At 47.0% G+C, this 19,958-nt stretch overlaps 1 protein-coding gene, 1 long non-coding RNA gene and 1 other non-coding gene across 24 annotated transcripts in view, besides 15 other annotated features; 1 reads left to right on the top strand and 2 right to left on the bottom strand.

The window, feature by feature from the left end:
* STIM1 (stromal interaction molecule 1) overlaps nucleotides 1–6,481 on the bottom strand; it is a 238,607-nt gene extending 232,126 nt beyond the window's left edge. For 11 of the 22 annotated variants that reach the window (NR_168437.1, NR_168436.1, NR_168438.1 and 8 more), the window contains exon 1: nucleotides 4,676–5,421. Coding sequence is in view for 8 of the 22 variants with exons in the window: in NM_001382568.1 (NP_001369497.1) it covers nucleotides 4,676–4,814 (139 nt within the window). In the remaining 14 variants the exon portion in view is untranslated. Of the gene's footprint in view, nucleotides 1–4,675; nucleotides 5,422–5,668; nucleotides 5,923–6,348 lie in introns of those variants that run through there. The other 11 variants (NM_001382578.1, NM_001382575.1, NM_001382580.1 and 8 more) reach the window with 4 other exon arrangements.
* Nucleotides 1,200–1,389: a silencer, noted in NCBI's record as "silent region_3092". NCBI's record gives its function as "represses an Ori minimal core promoter by ATAC-STARR-seq in GM12878 lymphoblastoid cells {active_cell/tissue: GM12878}" and the evidence as "EXISTENCE:reporter gene assay evidence [ECO:0000049][PMID:35858748]".
* Nucleotides 1,200–1,506: a biological region, named in NCBI's record as "Sharpr-MPRA regulatory region 4669".
* Nucleotides 1,212–1,506: an enhancer, noted in NCBI's record as "tiled region #4669; HepG2 Activating non-DNase unmatched - State 2:TssF, and K562 Activating DNase matched - State 5:Enh". NCBI's record gives its function as "activates a minimal TATA promoter and a strong SV40 promoter by Sharpr-MPRA in HepG2 and K562 cells {active_cell/tissue: HepG2 | K562}" and the evidence as "EXISTENCE:reporter gene assay evidence [ECO:0000049][PMID:27701403]".
* Nucleotides 1,540–1,719: an enhancer, noted in NCBI's record as "active region_4315". NCBI's record gives its function as "activates an Ori minimal core promoter by ATAC-STARR-seq in GM12878 lymphoblastoid cells {active_cell/tissue: GM12878}" and the evidence as "EXISTENCE:reporter gene assay evidence [ECO:0000049][PMID:35858748]".
* Nucleotides 4,506–4,555: an enhancer, noted in NCBI's record as "active region_4314". NCBI's record gives its function as "activates an Ori minimal core promoter by ATAC-STARR-seq in GM12878 lymphoblastoid cells {active_cell/tissue: GM12878}" and the evidence as "EXISTENCE:reporter gene assay evidence [ECO:0000049][PMID:35858748]".
* Nucleotides 4,566–4,645: an enhancer, noted in NCBI's record as "active region_4313". NCBI's record gives its function as "activates an Ori minimal core promoter by ATAC-STARR-seq in GM12878 lymphoblastoid cells {active_cell/tissue: GM12878}" and the evidence as "EXISTENCE:reporter gene assay evidence [ECO:0000049][PMID:35858748]".
* Nucleotides 4,796–5,005: an enhancer, noted in NCBI's record as "active region_4312". NCBI's record gives its function as "activates an Ori minimal core promoter by ATAC-STARR-seq in GM12878 lymphoblastoid cells {active_cell/tissue: GM12878}" and the evidence as "EXISTENCE:reporter gene assay evidence [ECO:0000049][PMID:35858748]".
* On the bottom strand, nucleotides 4,944–5,023 carry MIR4687 (microRNA 4687). The gene has a single exon (NR_039835.1). It is a non-coding gene; the product is annotated as a microRNA 4687 (primary transcript).
* Nucleotides 5,221–6,166: an enhancer, noted in NCBI's record as "H3K27ac-H3K4me1 hESC enhancer chr11:3876149-3877094 (GRCh37/hg19 assembly coordinates)". NCBI's record gives its function as "activates a minimal SCP1, AML or CMV promoter by ChIP-STARR-seq in primed H9 embryonic stem cells {active_cell/tissue: H9 hESC(primed)}" and the evidence as "EXISTENCE:reporter gene assay evidence [ECO:0000049][PMID:30033119]".
* Nucleotides 5,226–5,385: a silencer, noted in NCBI's record as "silent region_3091". NCBI's record gives its function as "represses an Ori minimal core promoter by ATAC-STARR-seq in GM12878 lymphoblastoid cells {active_cell/tissue: GM12878}" and the evidence as "EXISTENCE:reporter gene assay evidence [ECO:0000049][PMID:35858748]".
* Nucleotides 5,446–5,505: a silencer, noted in NCBI's record as "silent region_3090". NCBI's record gives its function as "represses an Ori minimal core promoter by ATAC-STARR-seq in GM12878 lymphoblastoid cells {active_cell/tissue: GM12878}" and the evidence as "EXISTENCE:reporter gene assay evidence [ECO:0000049][PMID:35858748]".
* STIM1-AS1 (STIM1 antisense RNA 1) lies at nucleotides 5,507–6,762 on the top strand. The gene is made up of 2 exons (NR_183662.1): nucleotides 5,507–5,728; nucleotides 6,427–6,762. It is a non-coding gene; the product is annotated as an STIM1 antisense RNA 1 (long non-coding RNA).
* Nucleotides 5,986–6,035: a silencer, noted in NCBI's record as "silent region_3089". NCBI's record gives its function as "represses an Ori minimal core promoter by ATAC-STARR-seq in GM12878 lymphoblastoid cells {active_cell/tissue: GM12878}" and the evidence as "EXISTENCE:reporter gene assay evidence [ECO:0000049][PMID:35858748]".
* Nucleotides 6,376–6,445: an enhancer, noted in NCBI's record as "active region_4311". NCBI's record gives its function as "activates an Ori minimal core promoter by ATAC-STARR-seq in GM12878 lymphoblastoid cells {active_cell/tissue: GM12878}" and the evidence as "EXISTENCE:reporter gene assay evidence [ECO:0000049][PMID:35858748]".
* Nucleotides 19,186–19,235: a silencer, noted in NCBI's record as "silent region_3088". NCBI's record gives its function as "represses an Ori minimal core promoter by ATAC-STARR-seq in GM12878 lymphoblastoid cells {active_cell/tissue: GM12878}" and the evidence as "EXISTENCE:reporter gene assay evidence [ECO:0000049][PMID:35858748]".
* Nucleotides 19,276–19,545: a silencer, noted in NCBI's record as "silent region_3087". NCBI's record gives its function as "represses an Ori minimal core promoter by ATAC-STARR-seq in GM12878 lymphoblastoid cells {active_cell/tissue: GM12878}" and the evidence as "EXISTENCE:reporter gene assay evidence [ECO:0000049][PMID:35858748]".
* Nucleotides 19,896–19,945: a silencer, noted in NCBI's record as "silent region_3086". NCBI's record gives its function as "represses an Ori minimal core promoter by ATAC-STARR-seq in GM12878 lymphoblastoid cells {active_cell/tissue: GM12878}" and the evidence as "EXISTENCE:reporter gene assay evidence [ECO:0000049][PMID:35858748]".

Raw genomic sequence — 19,958 nt, 5'->3', positions numbered from 1 at the left:
CCTCCCCAAGTCAGACTACTCTCTCCTGTTCTCTTCTGCCTCCACCCAACCCCTCCTTTCCAGGAAGCCCTCTGCAGCCACCTAGTCTAGCCCAGCCCACACAGATCGCTTTTAACCCTTAGCCTACAATGTCTATACTGCCTGATTTTGCACATCATTAAGCCTGTACATTATGTTGTATTTAATATTCCCTAAATACATGTGGCCCTACAAAACGTAGACTTCTTCAGTAGCCCTAAGTTCCTTCCACAGTGAAAAGCAAGCAGTGAGCACCCATTATTTTCACTTATAAAATGAAAAACTGATTTAAGTTAAGGTCCCTGACTCAAATTTCCTAGTCTAGTTCTACTAATAACCCACCATGAAACCTCTAATGCCTCTCTGGATGCCAGTTTCCTCATATGTAAAAATAGGTGGGATGAACTAACTGATGTTTCTATCTCGTAACCTTTGAATTAGGCAGCCGCTTTTCATCTCAAGATCTGAGAAAAATTACAAAGAAACTGTAAGGCCTCCCCCAGCTCTCCCAGGCAGGGTTAGTCACTTACTCCTCTGGGCTTCCCACAGCTTTCTGCATGTATATATAATACCTCTATTGCAGATTTATCACAAAGTTTTGAGAGTGGCTAAAGTAGAGGTAGAGAGAAGAATCAGACTGCCTGGATTCAAACTCTGGCTTCCTTGTTATCTGTGTAAACATGGGCAAGTTATTTAACCTCTCTATGATTTAATTTTCTCATCTATAAAATGGGGACAATATAACACAGGATGGTAATAAGAATTTAATAAAACAAAATGTTTAAATAGTGCCTGACATATAGTAAGCTCTAAAAAAGTTAGTTGCTATTATTATCATTGATGTTATTGTATTAATCTGTCCTACAATTAGGTTCAGGCTTTAACTAGATCTCTGTTCCCCTCTCATTCTCCATGATAGCATCCTGTTTATTTCTTCCATGACATTTTCCACAAGATAATATATTTATTTATGTGTTTATTATCTGTCTCATCAACAAGACTGTAACTTCCATGAGGGAAGGAACATGTCTGTTTTGTTCATCCTTAAATCCCCACAGGAACATATGACCTAGCCCAGAGAAGGCACTCAAATATTAATACTTGTTTAATAAATACCACATGAGCTGGCATTGTTCAATGTTTGCTGAATCAATTAACCTAGCTAAGGGTGATTGTCAAAGCTGAGGCCTGGGAGCAGATTATATCCTGGCTACCCCAGGCTTAGTGTGTCCCTCTCCCCAGGCCCCAGTATTAGCTTCAGCCAAGCCCCACCTACCTGCTCTTGGCCCCAGCCCAGTTCCGGGAGCCACCCTCAGCTAAAATTAGCATAGCTACCAAGATGGCCAGGCCATTTATAGCCTTGGAGGCAGCAGCAACTAGCTGGGGGAGGGAGGCAGGGTTCTGGCCTGCCACTCCATCAGAGGTTGATTGAGAAGCCAGCCTGCACTCTGCACACTGCCTAGATGCCTATCCTCCAAGGCCCTGTCCTAGCTACACTGAACTAAACCACAGTTCCTGATTAGAGGCCCTCAATACCTCCAACACTGGCAGCCATAACTCCAGACTCCACCTGAGGTCCCTCATGCACATTCTACAGAAACCATTGTTGTTTTCTAGAGTCTAAGGACGGTTCCAAGCATCCGTATCAGGCCAGCTTCAGAAACGCAAGCCCCAGAGTAGCACAGGCAGGCACAGATCTTTACTGAGAAAGTGACCTAGCATGGCTGGGTGTACAGGTATTAAAGAGCCAAAGGGTGACAGGAATGGCCTCTCCACGGCCCAGTGAGAGATCCTCCTTGTAGAGCACCTGCCTTCACTGCAGGATCAGGCTTTCATAGTGTTTATTGTATGCATGCTAAAGCCATAAGCATTTTAACTAAATCAATCTTAGGATCAAATATTTTAACTAACTAAAAAGAGACAGATGGGTATATACATCCAAAAGAGAAAAAATCAAATTCTCTGGGCCCCTGCAAAAGACTCTCCAGAGCAGAAAAAAAGTACAGCCCTTTTCTTGGCTCTCAGCTACAGAGTCACCAAGGCCTGCCTAATTGTCAGAAGGAAAGCAACATTCTCCAGCCCTGCCTAGCACTCCTTTAACAGGGCAGGACCTGAGAAGATGGAAGAAATCCAAGACTTAAGCATCAGAAGACCTGCCTATAAGAAAGACCAAGCACAGGACCAGGTTTCTTCACCCATAAAAATGGGGACAATACCACTTGCCCTGCATTGTAACAGGGCTATTGTGAGACTCTGTTGGAAAAACAGCTATGTAATTGTAAAATACAAACTGCAGAGAACACACAAATTGACTGGGTATGTTGAATCTGATTTTTAAAAGTAGTAGTTTTAAGAGCAAGTAAAGCTCCTCCTGTGTTCTGGGGATACAGAGAGGCTGGAAAGGATGCAAGAGTTCCTAGTTGCATAGAAAGTTTCTCTCCAAACTCTTTTGCAGATCCCAGTCTATATGAACCACCTCTTTGCAAAAACAAGTCCCTGACTGAGTCAAAGACAAAACCCCAGGTAGACCCAAGGGGAAAACCTACCACAACAATAGTGCTAGAACCTCCAGGTTTCCACAAACCTTAGGCATTCACAGCACCTAGGGTCTCTCTGAGACTTTCCTCCCTGGAATTCACTATTATTGTGACAACAGAAACCAGTTTCTAAACTGAGCATGAGTAGGCCTAAGTGGTATAATCAGCATAGCCAGGCCTCTGAAATATATGTTGTGTGAAGAATTGTCTCCAAAAGCTCAAGTCATGGGGTGGTCCTGAGGAAGGCTAGAATGCCTTTTACTTCAGGCGAAAAACAAAAAACAAAAAAAAAAAAACCTTCCTAATAGCCAGCCAATGTCTACATTCAAAATTTCATCCCTTTAGCTTATGTCTAAAATATAGAACACCCACTCTCCAAAAAATATTCATCTTATGTCAGGCACTCATATTTTGGAGTGAAAAAAGACATATTATCAGTTATAAATAGGAATGTCACAGGGACAGGAAGAGATGATAATTAGGTCTACTTCACAGTTCAATCTACATTTGCCCACTAGTCTTTCCCTTCATAGCCCAATAAGAACCAAGCTTTCAGCCAGGTCTCAAAGGTCAAGGAGACTCTCTATGGAGAGACAGGATTAATAGGCAAAAAGGATCTATCTAGAAAGCAACAGCCAGGTATCCTACTTACACATGGGCAACCCTGGCCTCATTTGGAAACCAGACCTCTTGGAACATCTGGAACTTAAAAGGGTATTGCCCAATAAAGGGTCTACCACCAAAGCCAGCTTCTGGATCCATCCATGAAACTCCCCAGCCACCATGACCTATATTTCCTTTTCTGACTTGTATCAGCAGGTGCCCACTGAGCCATTCCCTCATTTGAACTTGCTTATGCTCAGAAACAACTCATCTATAAACTCTCCCCACACTGCAGGTCACAGCTTTGGGCAGATCACAGCCAAAGGGTGAGAGAAATGGGAAAAGAGAACTGATCTCGTAAGCCTTATGTAAAATGACTGGATTTTAATAGAGTTCCTTGATGGGTACAGTGGCTCACACCTGTAATCCCAGCACTTTGGGAGGGATCCCTGCACAACACAGAGAGACAGTGTCTGTTCAAAAAATTAAAAATAGAAAGAAAAAAAAAGTTAGCCAGGCCCAGTGGCTCTTGTGTTTAGTCCCAGCTACCGGGAGGCTGAGGCAGGAGGATCACTTGAACCCAGGAGTTTGAGGCTGTAGTGAGCTGTGATCACACTACTGCATTCCAGCTTGGACGACAGATCAAGACCCTGTCTCAAAAAAACAAAACAAAACATAAAAGTGTTCCTTTCTACTGCAAAAGTATACCAGGGCTCCTGCTGCCTGATAAGCCTTCACAACTGCATAGGAAAAACCATGACAGATCAAAAGTAGCATGGTTTCCCTAGCAAGCAGACTCAGGGAAAAAAAAAAAAAAACAAAAAAAAAAACCTGTAGCATGGAATTCCCACCCTCATCAGTCAGAAGAAACAGAATAAGTCAACAAGTGGTCCCAGGAATTATATCATGTCTATGTCAAGAAAAGGCCATTTAACACCCTAGTTGTAAATAGGATTCCATCTAAGAAACCGCCTGGATATTTCAAATGCGCACAGCAAAGAGACAAGACTACCTAAGGGAAGGGTGGGACTAGGGTTCCCACGGTTGTTGGAATAGGCACACCTGAACACCAGGCTTTCAGGCAACAGAGGTGGCCCAGCCTTAACTTTCCCTTTCCAACATAAGTGGCCCCAACCTCCCCCATGCTGCTCAGTACTAAAACCGAATAGGAGCAATGAACTTATCATCTCACCAGGCCATTCTTCCAGACAAGTAGGCCTAAGATGGGGTCTTTCCTTGCTGATCTAAAAGGTCAAGTTGCCCCAAAGGCTTCTTCTTACTGCCAACAAAAAAAATCCTGAGTGCGGGGGATGAGGAAAGTTGTTCAGGAAAGATACAGGCATTTGCCATGACTACTGACCAGAAAGAACTTCTTGAACTACTTGGAACAGGCAGTGCCATGTGTGAATCCTCCATGAACCTCACATGTACAAACCTAGATTTCAACTTGCCCACTTCGGGCCACTCAGTCCTGAGCCAAAGCCTCCAGCCCAGTCCAGCCCGCAGCAAGGCCTTACCTGCTGCAGTGGACTCCTCAGAGTTGGCCCCCGAGCTGGTTCCTGTCGCCTTCTCACTGTGACTATGGCTGAGGCTCTGGCCCTGGTGCAGGAGGAGTCCCCAGAGGAGCCACAGGGCAAGACGGACGCATACATCCATGACTCTAGGTCTCAGTCAACATGCGTCTGATGTGGACACCTCGGGATCCCAGAGGCAAAGCCAGGAGCCCGGGAGTGCAGCCGACGGTCTCCAGGCAAGATGCCCTCGCGGCTCCGCAGCTGTCCAGCCACCCGCGAGCCTGCCCCCTCCAACAGCCAAAGGTCAAGTGCTCCAAGTTTGGGTGCGGGAGGAGGGCTGGCTCCTCAGGTCCAACAGTGGGTCCGCCGGGGCTGCGGCGGCCTGAGCTCGTGCCGCTTCCGGAGACTTCGGGCAGGGTGGCTGCGGGGCTGCTGTCAGCTCCGCAGATTACTACACCCCTGCGGAAGGGGGCGGCCGGAGTCTCCGCGGGCACAGAAGTGGAGGAGGAAGAGAAGAGAAGAGAAGAGAGGCGAGAAGGGGGCACCTGACCTCGCCCTGCCGAAGAGCGGCGAGCAGCAGAAGCTGGGGAGGGCGTGCGACCCGCAGGGTCCTGAGGGCGCGGGCGTCTCCGGGATCCTGGGCCTCCTAGGCCGAGGTCAGCGCCCCCGCCCAGTCCCGTGCCCAGGCGGCTGGCGGTGCCCAGGTCCAGCAGGCGGACGCACACCGGCCAGGCCCAGGACAGCGGCTTCCAGGCGGGCGGGCGGCGCGGGGCGGGCCCGGGGCGGGCGGGGGCGTGCGTCTCCGCGCCCGCCCCGCGCCGCCCGGTCCCCAGCGAAGCCCGGGCCAGCCCCAGCGCCCAGCTGGATCCCGGAATAACCGGTGAAGACGGCTCCCCGGAATCCCCGCCCCTAGCGGGCTCTCCCGGACCCCCGGCCCGCGCTAGTCTTTGCCAGGATCCCGCGCAAAGGATCAAGTCCCAGCTTCCCTTTCCCCACCGAGAGTCTCCAGCGCCAACCGCGGGCCGTCGGGCGGGTCCCTGACCCGCAGTTACTCAGGTAACTCAGGCCTGCGGCGGCGGCGACAGCAGCTGCCCTGCCCCGATCTCCGGGCCTTGGTGCTGCTCCACTCGCCTCAGTTCTAGAGCTGTCTAAACAGAGGCCCAGGACACGACGTTAGCCTCCCAGGAGCTGCCTGAGGCGACAACAGCCTGACCCGGCTCGGCCCGGGGGCGAGCTCCCAGCCCCCAACTCCCGGCCAGTTCCCAGGCTCCGCCCTCGCGCCTCGCCTGACAACCAATCGGCTTCCGCCTCTCTGCGGCTTGGGAACCCGCGCGCTTCGTCGCCCATGCGCAGCGGCCCCTGGTGGGAAAATCAGCAAACTGCAGACAGGACTCGGCGCTCCTGGGAGGGCCTGCTCTTTTGCAGAGGGTTGCCGAGTGAAGCTAAGACCCGCCCCGGGGGAGGCCCACGAGGGCCACTGGGGCCTGCGAGTGTTTTCTGAGGAAATGATGATGCCAGAAAGCAAAATGAAATGTCCAAACCACTCTAGCTAAAATTCCCCTACACATTCCTTGAGTCTGGGCTAAAGGGTGCCATCTGCTTTCCCGACCCCGCCTCCCTTCCCCTCCAAGCTAAGTGGGATGCCCTCCCTTAGCTCTCACAGCCCTTTTTCCTACCTGCCCTCAAGCTCTCAGCCCTTTAAGGTTTTTCGGTGGGGCCTGTAAATGCTTCCTCCCTGCATCTCATTCTCCCAGCTACCTCTCTGGTGGAGGAGGTGTCAGCGACTTGAGAATGAGTGCGCCAAAGAAGACAGAGCCACGCCTGAGCCTCCTTCAACAAAGCCTGCACTTCCTGTTCTCTTCTCAAGCGTGCTGTCAGCAGATCTTGACTGAAACCTCTGTGCCCTACCCTGTCCTTGGCACCAGACGCAGGGGAAAGGATCAGGCCCAGTCCCTCCTCTGACTGACAGTGCTAAACCAGCTACCTGTTCTGAGCAAGGCCCCTGAAGACTGGGAACACGAATTTGCCCAACAGCTGCCTGGCTTAAGGGTTAGGCCGTTGATATAAAAATACATGGCTAATGTAACCTACTACCACTCTCCCGGCTCTGTTAAGCTCCTGTCACACTAGCCTTCGTTAAGTTCCTAACCACGTCAAACTCAGCCACCTCACAGCCTTTGTATCTGCTGTTGCTTCTGCATGAAACACTCTCGCCTGCTCCCAGTTCCTCATGTAGCTGGTCTCTTACTCTTCCAGATACAGCTCAATGTGTCTCCTTAGAAACTTTTACTCTGCCCACCCCTTCAAAATCAGTCTGTGGCCAAAATTGGACCATTACATCTGTCTGCCCCTCCCCCAACAGATAGTGATTGCCACTTTTCAGGTCAGAGACTGTGCCTTATTCATCTCTGTGACACTAGGACCCAGCCATAGACCCTGCACATAGTAAGTTCTCTGTAAAAGCTGGATTACATGAGTTAATTCACTTGAACACTCAGATACTAAAAACTAATACCGGAATATTGGAAAATTGACCAGAACAGTTGAAACCCTACCTAGGTTCTCCTAGACCTATTCTCTGAGCCAGGGGTCTTAAATTCAAATGGCAAAATGGGCAGGTAGGTAATTCAATTAAGAAAAGTAGGTAGGAGTAATACGGAGTGGTGGGGACTGTGGAGAGCAGGCAGAAAGATGGGCCTAGTATTGCTGGAGTGTCATTAAGAGAAGATGGGGCTGGGTGCAGTGACTCATATCTCTAATCCCAGCACTCTGGGAGGCCAAAGTGGGAGGATTACTTGAGCCCATGAGTTCAAGACCAGCCTGGGAAACACAGTGGGACCCCCATCTCTACAAAAAAAATTTTTTTAATTAGCCATGAGTGGTATCTGGCTTCTGTGGTCCCAGCTACTCAGCAGGCTGAGGGGGGATGATCGCTTAAATCCAGGAGCTCAAGGCTGCAGTGAGCCATGATCACACCATTGCACTCCAGCCTGGGCAACAGAGCAAGACCCTGTCTCAATTAAAAAAAAAAAAAAAGAGAGAGAGAGAAGATGGAAATCTGGACTTTCATATGACATATCCTTTTTAAAAAAATATTAGCAATTCGTTTAAAAGGATAAAACCTTATATAGGCCACAGAAAACATGTCTGCAGCCCAGATTAATCACTCAGACTGACAGTTGATCATTTCTACCTAAGCCAGCTCTCCTGCCTGTGCACTCATTTGCCTAAGAGAACATGAAAGAAATGAGCAAAGTAAAGCATGTTTAACACAATTTCCTTCAAACTCGACTACAGCATTTCTTTTCACCACCATATGATTTCTTCGGGGTTATGGGTGCTTATCTATTTGGTACAACAAACAGATCTTGGAGGCAGGAAGCCAGGGTCTGTTACCAATTTACACCAAGACCTTAAACCTCTTGGAAGCTGTCGAATTTCCTGTGACGCTAAAATGGTGTCTAAGAACTAACAATAGTTACTATGATGCACCAATTTCAATGGTGGGTGTACACCCAGAAAATGTAAGCAGGGTCTTGAAAATTGTACACCCATGTTCATAACAGCATTATTCACAACAGCCACAAGGTGAAAGCAACCGAAGTTGTTCATGGATAGATGAATGGATAAACAAAATATGGTACATACGTACAATTAAATAGTACACAGCCTTAAGCAAGAAGGAAATCCTGACCATGCTACAACATGGATGAACCTTGAAGACAGCCAGCTAAGTGAAATAAGCCAGTCACAAAAGGATAAACACTGTGATTTCATTTATATGAATGTACCTAAAACAGTCAAATTCATAGAGACAGAAAGTAGAGTAGTGGTTGCCAGAGACTGGGGAGAGGGGAAAGCTGGGAATAGTTTCAATTTTACAAGATGAAAAAAGTTTTGGAGATTGGCTGCACAACAATGCGAATGTACCTAACATGACTAAACTGTACACTTAAAAATGATTAACATGAGGCCGGGCGCGGTGGCTCACGCCTGTAATCCCAGCACTTTAAGAGGCCAAGGCAGGCAGATCACGAGGTCAGGAGATCGAGACCATCCTGGCTAACACGGTGAAATCCTGTCTCTACTAAAAATACAAAAAATTAGCCGGGCATGGTGGCGGGCACCTGTAGTCCCAGCTAATCAGGAGGCTGAGGCAGGAGAATGGCATGAACTTGGAAGGTGGAGCTTGCAGTGAGCCGAGATCGCGCCACTGCACTCCAGCCTGGGCAACAGAGCAAGACTCTGTCTCAAAAAAAAAAAAAAAAAAATTAAGCTGGCAAAATGTATGTTATGTATTTTTTAACCACAATTAAAAATACAAATAAATGACCAGGCGCCGTGGCTCACACCTGTAATCCCAACACTTTGGGAGGCCAAGGCCGGCAGATCACTTGAGGTCAGTGATTTGAAAACAGCCTGGCCAACATGATGAAACCCCGTATCTACTAAGAATACAAAAATTAGCTGGGCGTGGTGGCGTGTGCCTGTAACCCCAGTTACTCAGGAGGCTGAGGCAGGAGAATCACTTGAATCTGGGAGGCAGAGGTTGCAGTGAGCCAAGATCACGCCACCGGACTCCAGCGTGGGTGACAAAGTGAGACTCCATCTCAAAAATAAAATAAAATAACAAATAAATGGTACCTGGGAGCCAAAGCCACAGCCTGGGCAACAGGAAGAAACTTCTGGTGTCTTCTCTGCCTCCAAGATCACGATGTGACACTAGAAAAGTCAGTTCCCCTCTGAATTTCAGTCTCCCCAACTATAAACTGGTCAGCTACCAGATTATTGACCCAGTGCAGCTTTAATATTCTACAAAATAAAAAAATTCTGAAACCTGATCAGAATCTGTGACCCTCATCTCTATAAGCCCCTATGCTTCGTCCTTCTAAAAGTGTGACCCTTGCAAGAACCCAGGTATGTACTAGGGCTCACACCTAAAATCCTAGCACTTTGGGAGGCTGAGATGGGAGGATCACTAGAGCCCAGGAGTTTGAGACCAGCCTAGGCAACATAGTGAGACTCTGTCTCTACAAAAAAATACAAACATTAACTTGGCATGGTGGTGTGTCCCCGTAGTCCCAGCTACTCAGGGGGCTGAGCCAGGAGGATGGCTTGAGCCCAGGAGGTCGAGGCTGCAGTGAGCTGTGATTGCCACTGCACTCCAGCCCAGGTGATAGAGCAAAAATCTGTTTAAAAAAAAAAAAAAAGAAAGGACCCCCTCAACATATTGTAAGCTTCAGGAGGAAACAGAGAGCTTTCTCCCCATCTCTCTTTTTATACCTATGCAGTATATCTCCCTTGCATTAATCTTAGGGCCTTGCTTAGATGTTCTGAAGATGTTGGCTAAATCAAATTGGATTAACTAATTCTTATGCCTCTATTCCACTGTTTGCAAGAGTTTTCACATGTATTATCTCATCTCTTCCTCACAGAAGCTCTGCTAGATAAAACAGGGGCTACACGGTGGTCCCCATGTTGACCTGAGGTCAACTTCTGTCCAAAAATAGGTGACTATGGGGTTCGGGTGCAGTGGCTCACACCTGTAATCCCAGCACTTTGGGATGCCGAGGAGGGCAGATCACCTGAGGTCAGGTGTTCAAGACCAGCCTGGCCAACATGGTGAAACCTGGTCTCTACTAAAAATATAAAAATCAGCAGGGTGTGGTGGCACGTGCCTGTAATCCCAGCTACTCGGGAGGCTGAGGCAGGAGAATCGCTTGAACCCAGAAGGCAGAGGTTGCAGAGAGCCAAGATTGCACCACTGCATTCCAGCCTTGGTGACAGAGCGAGCCATCTCAAAAAAAAAAAAAAAAAAAACCTGGGGGGTGAGTATGGTACAATAAGATATTTTGACAGAGAGAGGAGAGAGAGAGACCACAATTGATCTATTTTATTATTAGTTATTTTTGTTCATCTCTTACTGTGTACAATTTATAAATTAAGCTTTATCATAGGTATGTGTATAGGAAAACAATATATATAGAGTTTGATACTATATGCAGTTTCACGCATCCACTGGGGTCTTGGAATACATTCTCCATGGATAAGAGGGGACTACTTTACTCATTTTAAAGATGAAGAAACTGAGGCTCAGGAGATAAAGTGGTAGGTGAGAGCCAAGCTTGCTTTCTTCTTTGGGATTCCCTCCCCATCCTTCAAGTCTCAGCTCAAATGAAATAAAAGCATCCATGCCCTGACCAGTGATGTTACCTTACCATAAATCAAGGGTTATGATTTTTAGCAAAACTCAAAAGCTCCACCCCACTTTAACACCTTGCCTGACTTGCCCTGTCTCTTCAGTCTTCTTCTATACCTTAGAGTACTTATGTAATTTGATTATGATTTTTTTTTTTTTTTTTGAGACAGGGTCTTTCTCTGTTACTCAGGCTGGAGTGCAGTAGTATGATCATGGCTTACTACAGCCTTAACCTCCTGGACTTAAGTGAGTTTTATTTTTTGAATAGGAATATTCTTTTTTATTTATTTATTTATTTATTTATTTTTAGAGACAGGTTCTCACTCTGTTGCCCAGGCTAAAGTGCAGTGGTGCAATTATAGTTCACTGCAGCATTGAATTCCTGGACTCGAGAGATCCTCCCACCTCAGTCTCCCGAGTAGCTGCGTCTACAGGCACATGCCACCATGCGCAGCTGAATTATGATTATTTAATAAGCGTATATCTTCTACATTAGCCTCTGAGCTCATCAAGGGCTGCATTTTATCCATCTTTATATTTTCACAGTCTAGGTTGCCCATTACATAGCTGGTACTCAATAAACGTTTCGCTAAGTGAATAAATGAATGATGTGTGTTCTGTACAGCAGCATAACTGTCCTTTCTTCACACCGCAGAGTTTCTGGTTACCAATAGCTTTCATTCAGAAAATGAGGGAGACTTTGCTAGAAATAATAATTGAGAGTCCAAAATCTGCTCAGAAAAATTTAGGAATCCCCTAGTTTGGGTTGCATTATTAGTAGCGCTCCCTGGTGTCCAAAAATGGAAAGTATAGCTATCGCTGAGAAATTGCCCAAGGTCTGGGTGGGTAGAGAGTGAGGAGAGACCTTAGCTTCTAGCAACAGCTTTTCCTAGGCTAGTTTCACACAGAGAATCATCTCCTCATTCAGAGTGAGTTCTAGAATCTTGCTTGCAATGTTCATTCATTCATTTAACACCTACTGAGCACCTATTTGTAACAACTTAGTTCCTACTCTCAAAGAGGTCCATTTTTACGGGGAAAAAAATGGGGTGAGTGTGTGTGTGTGTGTGTGTGTGTGTGTGTGTGTGTGTGTAGAGATAATTAGTACATGTCAATATGTCTCGAGAGGGATTGGTACAGGAATAGGTGAGGGAGCACAGAGGAAGGACAAGTAACAGTCTAAAGCAGTCAGGCTGTGCAGACTCACAGATTGGGGTGTGTGGGTGAGTAAGTGGGGTTCTAGGATCAGACTGCCTAGATTCACATCCAAGCAATGCTGTGTGACTCTGGGCCAGTTACTCAATCTCTCTGACCTCCGATTCCTCCATCTGAAAAAAGTAGGATCCTGTAAGGCTTAGATGAGTTCATAAGTGTAAAACAATTGGCACAGTGCTTCGCGTAGAGTAATGTGCTCAAAAATGTTGGCTCTTATTCTGCAAGGAATTTCAGAGCCGTTAAAGAATTACACCAAGATCAGGTAACTGTGATTTGCAGAAATTATTCTGGCAATAGTGCTGAGAAAGTATTGGAAAAGGTAGAAGCTGGAAACAAGTGACATGGTCTGACAGACCTGTACTGATAACCCAGCTCACCGCTGTGTGACCTTGGACAAGACCTGAAGTCTAATTTGGACAATAATGACGGGAATAGAAAAGTGTTCAGATTTGCGAAATATTTGGTGATTGATTAGATGACCAGGTGAGCAGGCAAGACAGATCAAGTTTAAATAATAGCTGTGGTTTTGGAAGATACTATTGTCTGCTAGATATTATGCTAAACGTGCTACATTCAATCATTCATTCAACCAATATTTACTGAGCAAAGTATTTTCATACCAGGCACTGTTCTAGGCACTAGGAATATAGCACTAAGTAAAACAAGCAAAACTTCTTGCCCTCCTGGAGCTTACATGTTATCTCATATAATGAATATCCATAGCAATCCTGAGGTGTAACACAATTTAGATTCATCTTACAAAGGAAATTAAAACTGACACGTTCAATTTTGCTATCTGTGAGGTTTTTTGTTTTGTTTTGTGTTGTTTTTGTTTTTGCTTTTGCTATTGACAGAGTCTTGCTCTATCACCCAGGCTGAAGTGAAATTGCATGATCTTGGCTCACTGCAACCTCCACCTCCCTGGTTCAAGTAATTCTCCTGCCTCAGCCTCCGAGTAGCTGGAATTACAGGTGCACACCACCATGCCCGGCTAATTTTTGTACTTTTTGTTTTAGTAGAAACAAGATTTCACCATACTGGTCAGGCTGATCTTGAACTCCTGACCTCAGGTGATCCACCCACCTCGGCCTCCCAAAATGCTGGGATTACAGGCGTGAGCCACCTCACCTGGCCTATCTGTGAGTATTCTTATCTGTAAAATTGAAATAATATTACCTGCCTTATAGACTTGTTATATTTATTGAGTTAATACGTGTAAAGCATATGTAAAACATATCTAAGTTGTTTTCCTAAATTATTATTCAGCAACTTCTCCAGGATCACACAGCAAGTAAATGGCAAAGATGAGAATTGGGGAAAATTTCCCCAGGGAATCCCGAATCAACTGGGCAGCTATAGTTGGGTTGCTCTTAGAATACCAGGACTGAGGAAGGAGAACTTTCCCAGAGGGGCATTATGCCAGATGATGTGGGTACTACCACTGGGCTTAGAAAATGTCAAAGATGCAAAGCTGTCCTGGAGGCTAACGGGACAACTATTGTTCTGCCTGCCTGGGAGAAGGGACCCTCTTGGAAAATAGGGCATGGCCATTGTCCACACACCCTTCATCCATTTAGTTCCTTGAGAGAGTCAAGAACAAAAGATTGGCCAGATGTGGTGGCTCACGCCTGTAATCCCAGCACTTTGGGAGGCTGAGGCAGGCAGATCACTTGAGGTCAAGAGTTCAAGACCAGCCTGGCCAACATGGTGAAACCCCATCTCTACTAAAAATACAAAAATTAGCCGTCGTGGTGGTGCTCGTCTGTAGTCCCAGCTACTCGGGAGGCTGAGGCAGGAGAATGGCTTGAACCTGGGAGGTGGAGGTTGCAGTGAGTCGAGACTGCGCCACTGCACTCCAGCCTAGGCGACAGAGCATGACTCCATCTCCAAAACAAAAGAAAAAAAATAAAAAAAGAAAAAAGATCAGAGGTTGTGACTCTAGAACTTTGTTTAATTTGTCACCTCTTTTTAGTTCTTTCTGCTGTCTCCTGTCTGGCCCATCAAAGCCCACAAAATGGGATATTGGACTTGTTTTGGGGGGCAGCAATAAAGAGGAGTAATGAAAAGGAGGCCAGTCACAGGGGCTCATGCCTGTAATCCCAGCACTTTGGGAGGCCGAAGCAGGTGGATCACTTGAGGTTAGGAGTTCAAGACCAGCCTTGCCAACATGGTGAAACCCCATCTCTACTAAAAATACAAAAAAGTAGCCAGGCGGGTGGCAGGCAACTGTAATCTCAGCTACTTAGGAGGTTGAGGTAGGAGGATCGTTGGAACCCGGGAGGTGGAGGCTGCAGTGAGCTGAGATCGTGCCATTGCACTCCAACCTGGGCTACAGGCCAAAATTCCATCTCAAAAAATAAAAAATAAAATAAAGGCCACGCACGGTGGCTCACGCCTGTAATCCCAGCACTTTGGGAGGCCCAGGTGGGCGGATCACCTGAGGTCGGGAGTTCGAGACCAGCCTGGCCAACATGGTGAAACCCTGTCTCTACTAAAAATAGAAAAAGTTAGCTGGGCGTGGTGGTGCATGCCTGTAATTCCAGCTAATCAGGAGGCTGAGGCAGGAGAATTGCTTGAATCTAGGAGGCAGAGGTTGCAGTGAGCAGAGATCGTGCCACAGCACTCCAGCCTGGGTGACTCTGTCTCAAAAAAAAAAAAGAAATAATGAAGAGGAAACTGTGTTCTACTCCTGAGGCTGGCTGAGAGAGGGAAGACCAAAGGATCAAGAGGAGCCCCAAGAAGGCTGAGTCCCCTGGAGCCACAGCAGAGGCAAAAGAGAATTCAGATTTAAGGGTAACCTAAAGGGGCTGGGACTGGGGCTAAGCCAAGACCCCTGTGGATCACTGGTGAGCTCCTGGAGCTGGAGTTCAGTGAGGAATAGGCTGGGAAGACCCCTTTGGAATCCTCAGGGCACTGGTGAGATCAGTTCAGGGCCTTTCTCCTCTCACTCTCTGTCCCCTCCTCTCTCAGGGAAACTAGTCAGCTTTAGCATTTTGACATTGAGAGAGAGGGAAGAATTAACCAAGGGCGGGGGGATACCTGAAAACATCAAGGGAGTGTGGAGAAATTAACTAATGTTTATTTGCTGTACCCTAGGGCAATTTACGAGGGCTCCACATGCATTATGTCGTTTAATACTCACAATCTCATGCAGCACTTGCCAGTCCCATTTTATTGTTTTTTATTTGTTAGTTTTTAGAGACAGGATCTCACTCTGTCACCCAGACTGTAGTGCAGTGGCATGATCATAGCTCTCTGCAACCTCAAACACCTAGACTCAAGTGATCCTCCCACCTCAGCCTAGCAAGTAACTGGGACTACAGGCATGTGCCACTATGCCCAGCTAATTTTTGTGTGTGTATGCAGATGGGGTCTTGCTATGATTGCCTAGGCTGGTTACAAATTCCTGGGCTCAAGTGATTGTCCCACCTTGGCCTCTCAAAGTGCTAGGAATAGAGGCATGAGCCACCACGCCCAGCCATTCCCATTTTAAAATGAAACTAAGACTGAGAAGTTGGCTCTGTTATATGCTCTTACAGTATTCTGTACTTTTTTTTCTGGAGAAATGTTCTTGCTATGTTGCCCAGGCTGGTCTGAAACTCTTGGGCTCAAGCAATCTTCCTGCCTTATCCCCCTGAGGAACTAGAACTGGAGACAAACACCACCATGCCCAGCAGCACTCTACTTTTGTATGATTACCTGTTTAAGGTCTATCTCCCTTACCAGTTATATCAGGGCAGTTTTCTCTACTTCATGATTGGCATGTAACACTATGTCTGGCACCAAGAAGATTTTCAATAAATATACATTGAATATTTATGAATATGGGAGATCTCATATGACTAATCAAAGGCCATACTGTGTTACAACCATCCTAATCTGTCTCCAAAACCTGTCTGTGATCTCTATTCTACCCCACCAAGTGCTTTCATATTATCTCACTTCTAAATGTCCAGGTTCAATGTCCTTGTCTCTCAGCTGCTTGTAAGCATACATGCACACCACCTACCAAGAACTCACCTATTCAGGGAAAGCTAGTGAGAGAGTAGAAAAAAGAAACAGCCCATTTGGGATTGTGCCCTCTTCCTACCCTCTTCAAGTCAGCATTTCTCCTCCTTCAAGAAGCCTTTACGGACAGCTCCACCTGTCCACCTGCTTCCCTTTCCTCTGGCCCTTCCCATACCTGTGCCACAAAAGTGTTTCCAAGTTACCTGGAGTCTGATTGTTCTACACATATTAGTACTTTATTAAAGCAATTTAACATTATGGATGTTTAGTGAAGGCAAATGTGTGCTCAGGCCTGCCTCTGTCAGGCCCAGTGGGTGGACACAGAAATGAATCAGACGCAACCTCAAAGGACTTATAGTCAGTGGGGGAGACAGATATTAGGCACAGATGCAATTTACTAGAGCACAAAGCATGATGACCTAAATGGTATTAAAGAACTATGAGCAACATGCTATATGCATAAACCTTAATTATTATTCTGAAGAGTGTATCATAGAAGATGAGAGCTCAAAGGTATCATCTAGTTCAACCTCTGTTTTCCAGTGGAAGAGTTTGAGACAGAGAAGGGTGGGGCCTAGCCTAAAATCTCAATCTGTCTGTCTGAGCCAAGACAGACTTCAAGTTTGTTTGTGGTTTTTTTTTTTTTGTTTTTTGTTTTTTGAGATGGAGTCTCGCTCCGTCGCCAAGCTGAAGTGCAGTGGCGCGATTTCGGCTCACTGCAACCTCCGCCTCCTAGGTTCAAGTGATTCTCCTGCCTCAGCCTCCCGAGTAGCTGGGGTTACAGCCATGCACCATCACACCCAGCTAATTTTTGTATTTTTAGTAGAGACGGGGTTTCACCATGTTGGCCAGGATAGTCTCGATCTTCTGACCCCATGATCCGCCTGCCTCAGCCTCCCAAAGTGCTAAGATTACAGGCGTGAGCCATTGTGCCAGGCCAGACTTGAAGGTTTTCTAAAGCCCAGCCTTGGACTTTTTCCTCCTCTTCTGATAGCTTCATATGCAAAGTCCTATACTTCATCAGACCATGAGATCTTTGAGGCTGGATCAGGTTCTCCCTCCTAAACCAGGGCTAGGCAAGCCCAAGACACTTACAGGCTCAGGAAATGCAATCTGATCCCAGGCTGCCAATCCAGTCTTTCAATCTGCAGCACCTAATGTGCTCCCTACTCTTATCACTATGTCCTTAAATTGATTTTCAAATATTTTTTGCAGGAAACTTAAAAACAAAATTAAACTCTCTATGCAGAATACTAGTAAATAAATCAGATAAAAAGCAAACCTTCTCTGGTTGAAGGGGAGAGAGTCCATAGCTCCACTGTTTTTCCTGTTCTTAAGTCCTGGGAAGGGAATTCTAGGAACACATATCAGAAACATTTCTTCTGGAGCTGGATGTGGTGGTGTGTGCCTGTAGTCCTAGCTACTTGAAAGGCTGAGGTGGGAGGATGACTCGAGCCCAGGAGTTCCAGGACAGCCTAGGCAACATAGTGAGAGTCCCATCTAAAAAAAAACAACAAACAAACCAGAAAAAACTTTTGTGCTGGGACATAATCTTTAATGGCGTCATAGAAGCTGCTTTAGCGTATGGTGTTCCTCTGAACCCTGTCATTTCTGGGGCTCACAATCCTTTCTTTATTCATGAAATACCAAGCACCCCAATGTCAAGTGGTCCCAATGGTGTATGGATGGGAATGAGAATTTCCCCTTGTGCCTCCTGCTCTCATGTCCTCCACAAAGAGGAGTTTGTCTGAAGGGCTACAGGGACCAGACCGAAGAGGAGACAAGAGACCCAAACACTGCCTGGCAGGTCAGGGGAGGCTTCTAGAGAAGGATCTTTGAGAAAGACTTCATCCACACAGTCATTCACCAGCCTGAATCTGATAAAGCCTCTGTTTTTGAGGATGATACAGTAGCCACCAGCTACACATGCTATTGACCACTTGAAATGTTTCCAGCCAAATTGAGACAAATTGTAAGTATAAAATACACACCGCATTTCAAAGACTTGGTACAAGAAAAGAATGCAAAATATCCAGTTAATTTTTATAACCAGTAATTTTTATGTTGATTACCATGCTAAAAGATAATATTTTGAGGCCGGGCGCAGTGGCTCATGCCTGTAATCCCAGCACTTTGGGAGGTTGAGGCGGGCAGATCACGAGGTGAGGAGTTCAAGACCAGCCTGGCCAACATGGTGAAATCCTATCTCCATTAAAAATACAAATATAAGCCAGGCATGGTGGCACGTGCCTGTAATCCCAGCTACTTGGGAGACTGAGGCAGGAGAATCATTTGAACCCAGGAGGCGGAGGTTGCAGTGAGCAGAGACCGCGCCACTGCAGTCCAGCCTGGTGACAGAGCGAGACTCCATCTCCAAAAAAAAAAAAAAAAAAAAAAAAAAGATAATACTTTGGCTATGGCTAAGTCAAATATAGTTAAAATTCATTTCGTTTCTTTTTACTTTTTTTGAAATGTCATTAATAGACAGTTTTAAATTACTTACGTGGTTCCTATTTATTTTTTTAAAAATATAAGTAGGCTGGGTGTGGTGGCTGACGCCTGTAATCTCAGCACTTTGGGAGGCCAAGGCAGGTGGATCAACTGAGATCAGTAGTTCGAGACCAGCGTGGCCAACAGGGTGAAACCCCGTCCCTACTAGAAATACGAAAATTAGCCGGGTGTGGTGACATGCACCTGTAACCCCAGCTACTCGAGAGACTGAGGCAGGATAACTGCATGAACCTGGGAGGCAGAGATTGCAGTGAGCCGAGATCGTGCCACTGCACCCCAGCCTGGGTGACATCGTGAGACTGTCAAAAAATATGTGTGTGTTTGTGTTTATAGAGACAAGGTTTCACCATCTCTGTAATTACAGGCAGACGCCACCGCGCCAGACTCTTAGGGTATGATATTTTTAAAAGATATTTGTTTAGTGTTTGAGATACGCATTGACAACAGGTCTTTTACACCCATTCTCATGTTATCTTCAAAACTACGGGGTGAAATATAATTATTCTATTTTACCAAAGACAGATTTGAGGCTCAGAAAGGTTAAGCTATTTATTCCTGGAATCAATCCGTTTATTTGAAAAGCTTCTGGAAGACAGGGATCCTGTCTTAAACGCTGTGTTTCTTCACAGCACCTAGCACTTAGCTCTCTCCACGTGGTAGGCGCTCAGAAACTTTGTGCTGAACGAAGGATATGGATTCTCAAGTCAAAGCTCCGAGCGCAAAGCCAGGGAGCGAAGCACCAGAGGGCGCCCATGAGCCCGCCCACCCGCGGGTCGCCGGGGCCCAAGCTGGACCTCAGGCCTGGGTGCGGCTCTTCAGCCCCAAGCAGCTGCGCGCCCCAGCAGAACAGGGGGCGAGGGGGCGAGGGAAGCCCCAAGTCCTCCGTCCGCCCCGCCCCCTCCCCAGAGCCAGGCCTCGCAGGGCTGCACGGTGCTGAATGACGACTCGACATCCTGTTTTTGGGGCCCGCGGCTCCGCCTGCGCCTCTGCTGATCTTGTCTTTCCCTTGGGTGCTGACGCCAGCTCCTCTTCCCCCCGAGTCTCCCCACCCTCCCCAGGGGTCTGGGGCCTTCCCACTGCTGAATCACCACCACCTCGCACTCCCCCGGGGCTCAGGGCAGGGGCGGGGACTGCCCCAGCCTCGGCCACCACTCTATCCCTGGGGTTGACTGAAGGGACCAGGCCCAGGGGCGCCTTTCTCAGCATCTTCCCGCGGAGGCTGGTGGGGGCGGGATGGGGGGAAGAGGACGAACGCCTAGCGCCCAGGGTAGGGCCTCCAGGGGTAGGGTGGCCAGGAGGAGGCGGAGAGACTTGACCTTGGGAGGCCTGACTTACTGACCGCAGGGGCAGCGG

Source organism: Homo sapiens, chromosome 11 (assembly GCF_000001405.40).
Source record: "Homo sapiens chromosome 11, GRCh38.p14 Primary Assembly".
Classification (NCBI taxonomy): domain Eukaryota; kingdom Metazoa; phylum Chordata; class Mammalia; order Primates; family Hominidae; genus Homo; species Homo sapiens.
The sequence above is the reverse complement of the archived record's forward strand: the minus strand, read 5'-3'. Positions and strand labels throughout refer to the sequence as shown.